This window comes from Homo sapiens, chromosome 9 (genome assembly GCF_000001405.40).
Source record: "Homo sapiens chromosome 9, GRCh38.p14 Primary Assembly".
Taxonomy (NCBI): Eukaryota; Metazoa; Chordata; class Mammalia; order Primates; family Hominidae; genus Homo; species Homo sapiens.
This window is the reverse complement of record NC_000009.12, coordinates 40,943,167-40,956,685: the sequence shown is the minus strand read 5'-3', so window position 1 is coordinate 40,956,685 and position 13,519 is coordinate 40,943,167. Positions and strand designations below refer to the sequence as shown.

At 41.8% G+C, this 13,519-nt stretch overlaps 1 long non-coding RNA gene across 1 annotated transcript in view; it reads left to right on the top strand.

Moving 5' to 3' along the window:
- Positions 1–11,266, top strand: part of LOC107986997 (uncharacterized) — a 46,412-nt gene extending 35,146 nt beyond the window's left edge. The window contains exon 2 of the long non-coding RNA XR_001746463.3: positions 2,828–11,266. This is a non-coding gene — a long non-coding RNA (uncharacterized LOC107986997). The remainder of the gene's footprint in view (positions 1–2,827) is intronic.
- The last annotated feature ends 2,253 nt before the right edge of the window (positions 11,267–13,519 follow it).

Here is a 13,519-nt window from a genome sequence, read left to right as displayed (position 1 = left end):
CATTTACTATCTCCTTTTGCTCATTTTCCTTTCACTCTTTATTCAGGTCAGTTTGGCTTTCACTTTCATCAAGCCTATGAAACTGCTCGTGCTAAGGTCACCGTATAAGAGTGCTAGGGGCTTCCATCACAAGCTGCCACAGATTGAGTGGTTTATCTTCTCACAGCTCTGAAGACTGGAAATCCAGGATGGAATGTCAGCAGGTTTGCCTTCTTCTGAGAACTGCTGCCTTGCAGATGCCTCCCTTCCTGCTGTGTCCTCAGGCTGTGTTGCCTGTGTCTCAATCTCTTTTTACATGGACACCTGCCATATTGGTTTAGGGTCCACCCATATGGCTTCATTGGACCTCACTTACCTCTTTGAATGCCTTCTCTAAATCAGTCCCTCTGAGGCAGTGGGGATCAGCTCTTCAACATAGGAATCTGGGGGGACACAATTCAGCACCCCCAGAATTGGTGATTCCTAAACATCATGAACACTATTCCTCTTTCTCTCTTTCTTTCCCTTTCTTTCTTTCTTTCTTTCTTTCTTTTTCTTTCTTTCTTCTCTCTCTCTTTCTTTCCTCTTTCTTTCTTTCTCCCTTCCTTCCTTCCCTTTCCTTTCCTTTCCTCGCTCTCCCTTCATTTTTTCCTTCCCTTTCCTTTCCTTTCCTTTCCTTTCCCTTCCCTTCCTTTCCTTGCTCTCCCTTCCTTCTTTCCTTTCCTCGCTCTTCCTTCTTTCTTTCTTTCCTTCCTTCTCTTTCTCCCTTCCTTCCATTTATTTACTTTTGTTTATATAAAATTTATGGGATACATGTGCAATTTTGTTCCATGCATAGTGGTCAGTTCAAAGCTATTAGGATATCCATCACCCAAGTAACATATATTGTACATTTTATGTAATATATAAGTCCAATGGGGTCTCAGGAACATTCAGTAGAGTAGACCCCTGACCTCTTCCTCTAGCTTGAACTATTTTCTTATCAGCTTCTCCCTCTTTGCCCAAACTTTAAATGTTGAAGTTCCTAAATCCTGGGTCCTCTTCTGTTCTTATCCCATACTAGGCTTGTCCAACCCATGGTCTGTGGGCCATGTGTGGCCCAGGACAGCTTTGAATGCAGCCCAACACAAATTTGTAAACATTCTTCAAGCATTATAAGATATTTTATGATTTTTTTTAGCTCATCAGCTATTGTTAATATTAGTATATTTTATGTGTGGCCCAAGACAATTCTTCTTATTCGAATGTAGCCAGGGAAGCCAAAAGATTGGACACCCCTGCCTACACAGACTCTAGACAAGGTTTTATTAATTACTATGGCTTTAGATACATTTATATGCATATGACTCCTACAGACCTCTCCTCCCAAGCTCCAAAACATTATGTGCACCTGCCATCTTGAAATCTCCACTGGGATTTTCACAGGCATGCCTAAAATCAGAATTCAAAACTCGAGTTCTGCCCCCACATCTATGCCACTTCCTCAATCATTTCCCTTTTGTTAGTTTATTTCTTTTTCAGCCTTACCATTCTTCATAAAAATTATCTCCATTTACCCATTTGCTTCTTCCAGAAAGCATCATCATCCTTGATGCTTTCTTCTTCCTGCAACCCCCCCTACCATCACAATTTGCAACCAATTACTGTTATTTCACCTGCAAAATATGTGCTAAAATTATCCGCTTCTGTCATCTGCATCTTTCACCTGGTCTGCAAACATATACTCCTCTTTCCAACTTTTTGCCTCTCCAATACCTTCTCTATGGCACACCCAGAGAGGTTCTTCAAAAATTTCAATTACATCATGTCTCTCCTTCGTTAAAAAATATTTAATGATTTTCTACCCATGAAATAATTCTGCTAGACTGCAAGCTCTAAAGATGCAAGGACTAGGTTTGCCTTATTTGTTTTTGTTTATGCAGAGCCTAGCCTTGCATGTAGTAGGAACTTAACACATTGACCTAGATCTTGTCCACCTTCTCAGCCTCACCTCTCATGGAAGCACTCATAGACCTCAGTCCAGTTACTCTTTTCTCAGATCCCTGAGCTGGCCTGGTCCAGGGCTGCCTGGGCCGTGATGCGTTCACTCCTGATTTGTTGGCTGGTATCTGCTTATATTCTTGCTACTATAACTGATGTCCAAGGAAGTCACATAGGCATCCCTGGGAGCTTGCTAGAGCTCAGGCACCACCCTAGATCCAATGAATCAGAATCTGCATGTTGACAAGGTCCCCAGGTGGTTCATATGTACATTCAAGTTTACGGTGCTTTGCTCTGGATCCCAGCCTGAGTGTTAGTTCTTTAAAGAGACCTTTCCCAACTGGCCAAATCTTATCAAGTCATGTGATGGATTCACCCACACGGTCTGTGATACAGAAGGGAAAAGAAGTTGAGACCTATTGATCAGAAGCTGCTCACTTTAGAGTTTTTCCTAAGGGTGATCCTATCAAAAGTTCTGGATTTTGTAGAGAAGCATACAAAGTATGTGAATAGTTTGATTTGAGCACATTGAAAATTGCCAGTTTTCTTTGCTTTAACCAATGTTTGCTTTCCCTCTGGAAATCCCTTGTTACAGGTCCTTAGTTTTAGTTTGCCACATTATGACACGATGGGAATAATGCACAGCAGTGATCCTCAGTTGGTTTGGGTTTTCAATACATAATTGATCCATGGTTGTGGCATGCATTGTAGCATGTCCAACTAGAATACCTATTCTTTCAATTACTTTCATTACTTTCAATGGCAAAACCACAATTACTTTTGCACTAACCTGATAGCTTTGCTACAAGTCAGTTGTTCAGTTTTCTTTTTTTGTTGCTGTTTGTTTTTATTTTTGCAAACACTTTAGATACTGCATAGTGGATGGATTAGTTTGTGGTTCCTGGGATCTTCTGTGTATTCTGTTGAAGCTCAATAATCACATTACTGCGGACCTCCAAAATTTTACAAAGGACTGCACAGTGAGTATTCAGCCGATAAACTAAACCACAGCTTAATACTGTGAGATGAAATAAAGCACACCAATTAAAAGTAAACACTGTTTAAACCTACCTCAATGAATTTCTAAAGTGTCATACATTTATTATATTCTCTACTTGTAAAATATTTTGTTGTGTGTATTGCCAAGTATTTCAGGATTTTATGGGTATAATGTATTCTATTAATTTAACTGGAAAACTTGTAGTTATTCAACAAACAAACTAAAAGTGTTGGCAGAGATGTAATTTTAAAGCACAATCCCACTCATTCGTTCAGTGTTACAGCTGCTCCTTGTTTGTTTAATAATAGAACTGATGAGTAGTTAATTTGAGAGGAAAGCTGGTGCAGGTGTAGTGCTATTTGGATGTCATGGAGGACACATGTGACATCTGCAGCTAGCTATATGGTAAAAGCAAAACAGAAGTTAAAATCAGCCCTGTGTCAAATCTGCATAGTTTTAGGCTTCAGGGAGTGTCTCTGTATGTTGAGGCAGGAAGTTTAGTAGAATTCCAAGGAAGTAAGAGAGGAACAAACATTTGTAGATTTTGCCTTCTATGGGGGAACTCATTCAATCATCAGGAGAACTCTTCAATAGGTTTTATTTGCTCCGGTTTACCTAGATGAAAAATTGAGACCCAGAATCCATGCTTTTCTTTCCTGGTTACACATTAGAATCACCAATGTGACATTAAAACACACACACACACACACACACACACACACACACACACACACTGCACACCCATTAGGATGGCTGCTATCAAAAAAGAAAAAACAAAAAAATCAGGGGCCAGGCACGCTGGTTCACACCTGTAATCCCAGCCCTTTGGGATCACCTGAGGTCAGGAGTTTGACAGCAGCCTGGCCAACATGGTGAAATCTCATCTGTACCAAAAAATAAAATAAAATAAAACAAAAAACAACACACACACACACAATTAGTCGGGCATGGGGGCACACATGTGTAATCTCAGCTAATTGAGAGGCTGAGGCACGAGAATCGCTTGAACCTGGGAGGCGGAGGTTGCAGTGAGCCGAGATCACGCCACTGCACTGCAGCCTGGAGACAGAAGGAGACTCGGCCTCAAAACAAATCAAAACAAAAACACCCAGAAAATAACAAGTGCTGACAAGGATGTGGAAAAATTGTAACTCTTGTGCATTGAGGGTGGGTATGAAAAATAGTACATCAGCTGTGGAAAACATACCATTCCTCAAAAATTTAGACATAGAATTACCATATGATTCAGTAATCCCACTCACATCTATAAATCTCTATATCTGTATCTTTATCTACCTATCTCTATCTTCAAAAGAATGGAAAGCAGTTACTCAGATACTTGTACACCTGTGTTCTCTCCCCACCCCCCCTTTTTTTTTTAATAAATGGGCTCTCACTGTGTTTCCCAGGCCGGAGTGCAGGGGCTGTTTATAGGCACGACCCCCTGCTGCGGGGCTGTCCACCGGCATGAACCCCTGCTGCGAGGCTGTTTATAGGCATGATCCCCCTGCTGCGGAGCTGTCCACAGGCACGGACCCCTGCTGCAGGGCTGTCCACAGGCACGACCCACTGCTGCGGGGCTGTCCACAGGCACGACCCCCTGCTGCGGGGCTGTCCACAGGCATGACCCCCTGCTGAGGGGCTGTCCACAGGCACGATTTCCCTGCTGCGGGGCTGTCCACAGGCAGGATCTCCCTGCTGCGGGGCTGTCCACAGGCATGACCCCCTGCTGGTCAAACTGGGAGTTGTGCCCTGCTTTGTCTCCAATCCATGCCGGTTCGCCCCTCCTTAGGCAACCTGGTAGTCCCTTATCCCATGAGGTCACTGTACTAATGTCTAATTTCGTGCAGATGTCTGATCAACACTGCACACTGCAGCTCAGGACCCCTGGGCTCAAGTGATCTGAGTAGCAGGAACTACAGGCGCATGCCACCACACCTGCCTGCTACACCTGTGTTCATTGCAGCATTACAGCAGCCTTATTTACAGGAACCACAAAATGGAAACAACCTAAAAAGTCTATTGAGGGATAGATGGATAAACAAAATGTGGTATAGATGTAAAATGGAATATTAGTGATCTTTGAAAAGGGAGGGAATTCTGATACTTGCTACCACATAGATAAAAACATTATGCTAAGTGAGACATCAAACAAAGACTACCTGATTCCATCTATATGAAGAACCTGGAACAGGCAAATTAATAGAGACACAAAGTAGAATAGAGGTTTTCAGGAATGGCAGGAGGTGGAAATGGGCGAGGTTAGTGTCTAATGGGCACAGAGTTCCTATCTGGGATGATAGAATGTTTCGGAAATGGATAGTGGTGATGACTGCACAGCATTGTGAATGTAGCTAATGACGTTGAATTCTTTACCAGAAAACAAAAACAAAAACAGAAACACATTGCTTAAGCTTCTCAGTCCGACAGGTGACGTGCTTGGTGTGAGCTGGGGCCTAAGCCCAGGCTGCCCTCGCCAGAGCTGCTTCAAGACCCCTCTTGGTTGTACTTAGGCCTGATTGCTCTGGAGAGTCCCATACATGAAAGCCAGCTCTGGTTCTATCTCTTCTCACTCCAGTCCTCCCTGCCCCCACCATCCCCCAGCTGGGCATTATGAGAAAAGCAAGATGACTATGAGTTTTTTGATTATTTATATGACCAAATAATCTCAAGGACTATTGCTAACTAACCCATGGGACTCCCACTACCTTCATGAGGCTCGGATGAGGTGAAGGGTCCCTAAAATCGTGCCAACTAGTCAGGAACTCAGTTGTCAATAATTTCTTTATTTGTGATACAAGCAGGCGTGGGGAAAGAGAAATGAACAGACTTGGAAGCTTCTCCGAGGCCCTAGAGAAGACCTCTGGGTTCCGAACACCAGACACCAGGAGTAAGGAGGGTAGTTGATGATTTCCCACTCTTTCTCCAGCCCCTGCTCCTCTGTTTCTCCCCTTCACCCACTGCAGCTTCCTCAGGTCCTGGGTCCCGCGCCATCATCTCTTCGAATGACCTCCCTTCTATTCCTGTTAATAAAGGAGCATCAGCTAAGTGAATATGGTGATTTGCATACACTTACATTGATTCAGAAATTGTGTTTAATTCCACACAAGAAAAAGAATGTGGATCTTTTTCACTGGGAAAAAAAGTCGCCATGTATCATCTTAATCATGTTTTCCTGGGATATAATCTATACGTGACGCCCATTTAAGCCTTCATTGCATCTATGCACGTGGTTTGCTTTCCTCTTGTGTGAAATAGTGTTGGACCACACGGGTTTGGGCCACAGCCCAGGAAGACACAATCCTGAACGTCATAATCCCAAATGTTGAAGTCCCATAAGATCTAAATCTGTACAGTCTAAAATCCTGAAAATTACAATCCTAAAAAAACAAAATTCTCAAAATACAATTCTGGAAAAAAATTATTAACACATTCTTTAAGAAGCATTTATTGGGCAGCACATGGTGGCTCATGCCTTTAATCCCAGCACCTTTGGAGGCCGAGGCGGGTGGATCACAAAGTCAGGAGATGGAGACCATCCTGGCTAACACGGTGAAACCCCATCTTTACTAAAAATACAAAAAATTAGCCAGGCATCATGACGGGTGCCAGTAGTCCCAGCTACTCGGGAGGCTGAGGCAGGAGAATCGCTTGGACCCAGGAGGTGGAGGTTACAGTGAGCCGCAATCGCACCACTGCACTCCAGCCTGGGCGACAGAGTGAGACTCTGTCTAACAACAAAAACAAAAAACATTTATTTATATTTTTAAGATGGAATTTATTTGAGAAACTTATAAAAACACAACAGAACCCTTCCTAGGCCACTTTACACAATCAATAGGCAATAATAACATGCATATATTTGCAAGCGTAAAACTCAGGTATGCTAACGATAGTCTCACGGGTATAATGGTAATGAGCAGATGAGTTGTATTTGTAAAGAAATGGGTCAAAAAGCAAAATGTATAAAAGCGTGGTTGGTAACTGGGTGAACTCAGCTTTATAACTTAGGTCATCTGGAATACTGTGACAGACAACCTAAGTCTTTTGACCAGATTCATCAAAAGCTGGGATGGGTCACCATGTAATATTCAGTCAAAGAGCTGAGATCCTAAGGAATTTTCTCTTTCCCAAATGCAAATGTGCAAAAGGATATCTTCTCATTTATTGAGGAAATTTTAATGTTTTTATGTACATGTACAATGCTTACACACAAAGTCAGTGTTGTGATAATACACTGTTGTGGAGTCAAATTTGCAAAAAAAAAAAAAAAATGCATAAAACAAATTAGAACTCTCTAAAAGTCTTTGCAAAATTTATACCTCCAGTATTGGAAATGATACTAAGATGAAATACATAGCATAGCAAGTTGTAAAAAATAATGCTGACAATTTAAAATAGTGGAAAAAATGGAAAAAGAAACACTAAAAAGAAAATTGACATATAAAAAGTATATTACATGGATAGATTATGAGCAATTGCAGAGTTCATCATAGCTCGCTGACTTTCATGATCATTAACTATATTTTGAAGTCTTGCATCACGATGAATTGTTGCCTTTTTTGTTTTTAGGATTTGACTCTCCTCATAAAATACATTCACATTCATTTTCTACGTGGCACTGCTCTTTTTGAAATTCTTCTGTAATTTGATACACACTGACATGAGCATTTCCTGTTACATTTTCCAATCTTCTATGCCTTTCTTGTCTATTGTTTTGAGTATGTGGAAATCCATTTTGCAGGCCCTCATATACAGGCCACTCATTTGGCAGAAACAATACTCTTGATTGAACAGCAACACCATTGCCTAAATGACTCTTATCCTACCTTGCACATCATTATTTTCAAACCAGTATGTAATATTTCTGGCTTCTTCAGGCAATTGTGGTTTTAATTTATCAAAAGCTCCTGGAATTTTATCAGGTGGAAGGAATGCCAATACAGACAAATGACACATTTTTAAACTAAAATTTTCATCATTGCCATATGGCCTGGCCAATCCACTCACCTGAATTTTCTGGCAAATGAGCTGGGCTGAATGGAAGATATAAATTTTACTGGTAACAACTTGCAATTCACTTTTAGAAGCTTTGATCACACCTAATTAAAAACTTGTCATTATAATTTGGGGATCCAATTGAAATCTATTTTCTTCTGCAAAGCCATCCAAATCTTCAAATAAGCTTTTATAAAGTACTTCACTTTTTCCAGTTATTAAACCATAAACGTGCAGTTTAAATTACAGAATTTTGTAATCCAATGGGGGCATAAACTGCATAAAGTCGATTTAAAAAACCCACTGGGGACAGTTTTGAAAGTGCCGTTCATCAGCCAAAGTGAAACATGCACCAGTTTTGTTATGTTAAACAAATATGTTTATCTTTTTTGACAGTCAAATCCCTAATCAAGAATAGTTCATGATTTAATATATCTTGTAGCACTGGAGGAAGCTCTGTGCCAGAAGGTGTCTGGCTCAGAAGGCCACTGAATTTGTTGAACTATTTTTATTATCTGACAAAAGGCATTTTGTGAAGGCAAGCATGGTGCTACGTGTAGAGGTGCTTGGTACATGATTACATAATTTGGCAGACAAGATTTTGTTCATTTTTAACTTTCATTTTAACTTCTTCTGTGATATTCAAGACATTCAAAACAGTGACAGCAGATCTTCCCCACCTAGTCTGCTCAGACCCACACACTGATCTCTTCTGAGAAAACCATCACAGTCATACCCAAAATAATGCTTTCCCAGCTTTCCAGGGATTCCTTAATCCAGTCAAGTTGACACCTGAAATTAAGTCTGCAAGTCCACCCCTTGTAGATGTGGCACCCATATGGACCTCCTTAAACCATACATAATTTCCAAATAAAAAGAAAACAAAGCAACAGTTGTACCTAACATGATGCAACTAACGTGGTACAACTCTCCTGTGATTGTGATTTTCTGGATTTTAGATGTTAAGAATTTAGACTTTAGGACTGGGCATGGTGGCTCATGCCTGTATTCCCAGCACTTTGGGAGGCCAAATCAGGAGGATCACTTGAGCCCAGGAGTTTGAAATCAGCCGGGGCAATAAAGTGAGACCCCATGATATGGTTTGGCTGTGTCTCCAACCAAATCTCATCTTGAATTGTAGTTCTCATAATCCTCACATATCATGATGGGGACCCAGGGAGAGGTAATTGAATCATGGAGGCAGTTACCCCCATGCTCTTCTCATGATAGTGAGTGAGTTCTCACAAGATCTGATGGTTTTATAAGGAGCTTTTCCCCCTTTGCTTGCGCTTCTCCTTCCTGCCACCTCGTGAAGAAGGTGACTTGCTTCCCCTTCACATTCTACCATGCTTGAAAGTTTCCTGAGGCCTCCCCAGCTATGATGAACTGTGAGTCAATTAAACCTCTTTCCTTTATAAATTACCCAAGCTTGGTTATGTCTTTATTAGCAGCATGAGAATGGACTGATACAGTAAATTGGTACTGAGGTAGTGGGGCGTTGCTATAAGGATATCTAAAAATGTGGAAGTGAATTTGGAACTGGGTAACAGGCAGAGGTTGAACAGTTTGCAGGGTTCGGAAGAAGACAGAAAAATGTGAGGAAGTTTGGAACTTCCTAGAGACTTGCAGAATGGTTTTGAGGAAAATGCTGATAGTGACATGGACAATGAAGTCCAGGCTGAGGTGGTCTCATATGGAGATGAAGAACTCGTTGGGAACTGGAGTAAAGGTGACTCTTGCTATGCAAAGAGACTGATGGCATTTTGCCCCTGCCCTAGAAATCTGTGGAACTTTAAACTTGAGAGACATAGTTTAGGGTATCTGGCAGAAGAAATTCCTAAGTAGCAAAGTGTTCAAGAGGAAGCAAAGCATAAAAGTTTTAAAAATTTTGCAGCTTGATGATGAGATAGAAAAGGAAAACCCATTTTCTGGAGAGAAATTCAAGCCAGCTGCAGAAATTTGCATAAGTAAAGAGGAGCTGAATATTAATCACCAAGACAATGGGAAAATGTCTTCAGGGCATGTCAGAGACCTTCAAGGCAACTCAAACCATCACAGGCCAGGAGGCCTAGGAGGAAAAAATGGTTTCATGGGCCCAGTGCAGGGACTTGCTGCTCTGTGCAGTCTCAGGACTTGGTTCCCTGTGTCCCAATCATGGCTAAAGGGCCAATGTACAGCTCAGGCCATGGCTTCAGAGGGTAAAGGCCCCAAGCCTTGGCAGCTTACATGAGGCGTCGGGCCTGCGGGTGCACAGAAGTCAAGAATTGAGGTTTGGGAATCTACGCCTAAATTTCAGAGGATGCATGGAAACGCGTGGGTGTTCAGGCACAAATTTGTGACAGGGACGGAGCCCTCATGGGGAACCTCTGCTAGGGCAGTGACTGCAGAAGGGAAATGCGGGGTCAGAGCCCCCACACAGTCCCCACTGGGGCACTGCCTAATGGAGCTGAGAGAAGAGGGCCACCATCCTCCAGACTCCAGAATGGTGGACACACTGACAGCTTGCACCGTATTGTCTGGAAAAGCCACAGACACTCAGCACCAGCCTGTGAAAGCAGCCAGGAGGAGGGCTGTACCCTGCAAATCAACAGGGGTGGAGCTGCCCAAGGCCATGAGAGCCCACCTCTTGCTTCAGTGTGACCTGGATGTGAGACACGAAGTCAAAGGAAATCATTACAGAGCTTCAAGATTTGACTGACCCATTGAATTTTGGACTTGCATGGGGCCTGCAATCCCTTCATTTTGGCCAATTTCTCCCATTTGGAACAGGTGTATTTACCCAATGCCTATATCTTCATTGAATCTATGAAGTAACTAACTTGATTTTGATTTTACAGGCTCATAGGAAGAAGGGCCTTGCCTTGTCTAAGATAAGACTTTGGACTTGGACATTTGGGTTAATGCTGGAATGAGCTAAGACTTTGGGGGACTGTTAGAAAGGCATGATCATGTTTTAAAATGTAAGGACATGAGATTTGGAAGGGGCTGGGGGCAGAATGATATGGTTTGGCTGTGTCCCCACCCAAATCTCACCTTGAATTGTAGTTTCCACAATCCCTACATGTTGTGGGAGTAACCCAGTTGGAGGTAATTGAATCATGGGGGTGGTTACCCCATGCTGGTCTCATGACAGTGAGTGATACCTGAAGGTTTTATAAGGGGCTTTTCCCCTTTCGCTCAGCACCTCCTGCTGCCTTGTGAAGAAGGTGCCTTGATTCTTGTTTGCATTCACCATGATTCTAAGTTTTCTGAAGCCTTCCCAGCCATGCTGAACTGTGAGTCAATTAAACCTCTTTCTTTTATAAATTACCCAGGCTCGTGTATGTCTTTATTGGGAGCATGAGAATTAACCAATTCACTCTGTCTCTATTAAAAAAAAAAGAATTTAGACCTTAGGAATTTTGATCTTTCAGGATTTCAACATTCAGGGTTATGGTGTTTGTCACTGGGTCTTCTGGGATTATGATCCTCACCTAGATTAACAGCCTCACAGCTCTCTTCAAACTATGACCCTATTCTCCCACTACCTCCTGAGTTCAGCCTCTTTCTTCAACTTGGCTAAGCCTGCCTTTCTTTTCCTATCTGTCTGCTTTCTTCCCTCTGATTGATCCAAAGTAAAATTTGACTTTTTTTTCATTCCAACAACTCCATCTTCTATCACATATCTCCTTTCATGAAGTTGGCCCCGATAATGTTTCTGTTAACAACAGTATAATATAGACAATATTGCATATAGTTAAAGTACGTATTTTATTTATTTGGTGGCAGCATTCTAATAAGAAATTAAAACTATTTCTTTTAAAATCATAATTTAATCACCAGGCAGAGCAAGTAAAGAGAAATAAGTTCCAGAATCTCACATCTGTCAAAAGTAAATGCTGATTTTTATTGAGGACTTCCTTATTTCTGCCACCAGTTGACTCTCATACAGCTTGTTCCCAATAGAATCTAGTGTGGAATTGGCAAATGGGGTGTCATACATGCAGCACTCTACTGGAGCTGATAATTAAGTACCCAGAAATTTTGTGAAGTGTTTGTCAAACCATCAGTAGAAATATTTACACAATGGAAATTAGCAAATGCTACAAATCTGGGCTTCTCCCCACCCAACCAATAGGTTTACTAGCATACAACTTTTATTCATCCTGTAAACGTTCAGAATTTCTATAAATATTCATAGACTCTCCTATACTCAGTGTCTCAGAATAACTCAAAGTTCTAACAATAGCCAGTGAGGCTGAGTGTGAGTTGACCCACCCCAGTCCCTCTCTCTGACCTGTCTCCTGTTAGCCTTCTGACTCCCAGTATTCTCTACTTCATGCACATGGGCTACGCACCCTGCTGTTTGCCTGCCTTTTCTTCTTCGAGTGCTCTTCCCCAGATATCTGCATAGCTGGTGCCCTCACCTCCTTGGAATCTTTGTTCAAATGTTATCTTCTCTGTGAGACCTTCTATATAAGTTTTCTATGATTGCTGGAATAAATTAGCACACCTCTAGTAGCCTAAGAGAACACACACTCTCTCTAGGGGAGAGAGAACACTTTCTTACCTTCTCCAGCTTTGAAAGGATGCCTGCATCCCTTGGCCCCTGGCCCCCTTCCAGGCAGCAACCACATCATTCTGACCCTAGCTGTCATGCGTCTTGCCTCAGACTCTCCTGCCTCCCTCTTTTGCTTTTAAGTACTCTTGTGATGACATTGGGCCAACCTGGGTAATCCAGAATAATCTCCTCATCTCATGATCCATAACTTCATCACATCCACAGGTCCTTTTTGCCATATAGGGATATGGACATGTAGAAAGGCCATTCTTCTGCCTATTACTCCCTCCTTGAGCATTCTAACTACCTTCACATCTACCCGCTCCCAGCATTCCTGAGCTCCCTTCCACACTTAATTTTTCTCTGTGCCACTTATTACCTTCTGGCATATTATATATTTTCCATAGTTATTTTATTAATGATCTGTCTTTTCTCACTGGAATATAATTTGCATGAGGGTAAACATTTTTGTTTTAAATCATTGCCATATTTTCATTATGTTGAACAGTGCCTTGCTCTTAGTAAAGATTCAAGAAATATATAAGTTTTGGCTGAATAAATTAGGTTGAGAAGTTTGGGGGAAAATCCTGGCATGATACAGAAGATGGTTCCCAGTGATGGGAAAGGGCCATGTGGTGGGGCCTCTACAGGAAGCTGGGATGCTCCAGAGGTCCCCCAGGGCAGAGCTGCTTTGCTCACGTTGAACTCTTTGCCCAAGCTCTGATTTCTAATGTTTTCTTTCATATTTGTTTTTGCTCTGCCTTTTTTTAATTAATTTTTTATAGAGATGAGGTTTTACTATATTTCTCAGGCTGGTATCAAACTCATGAGCTCAAGCAATCTTCCCACCTTGGCCTCCCAAAGTGTTATTACTGCAGGTGCAAGCCACCACACCCGGCCTGCTTTTGCTCTTTCTTTGAAATATACTCAAAATGCTTATATTGGTTTCTAACTATAGATCATGAACTCCTGAAGCAAAGTAACCACTTTGTTCTTCATTATTTCTTTCACTCTTCTACTCT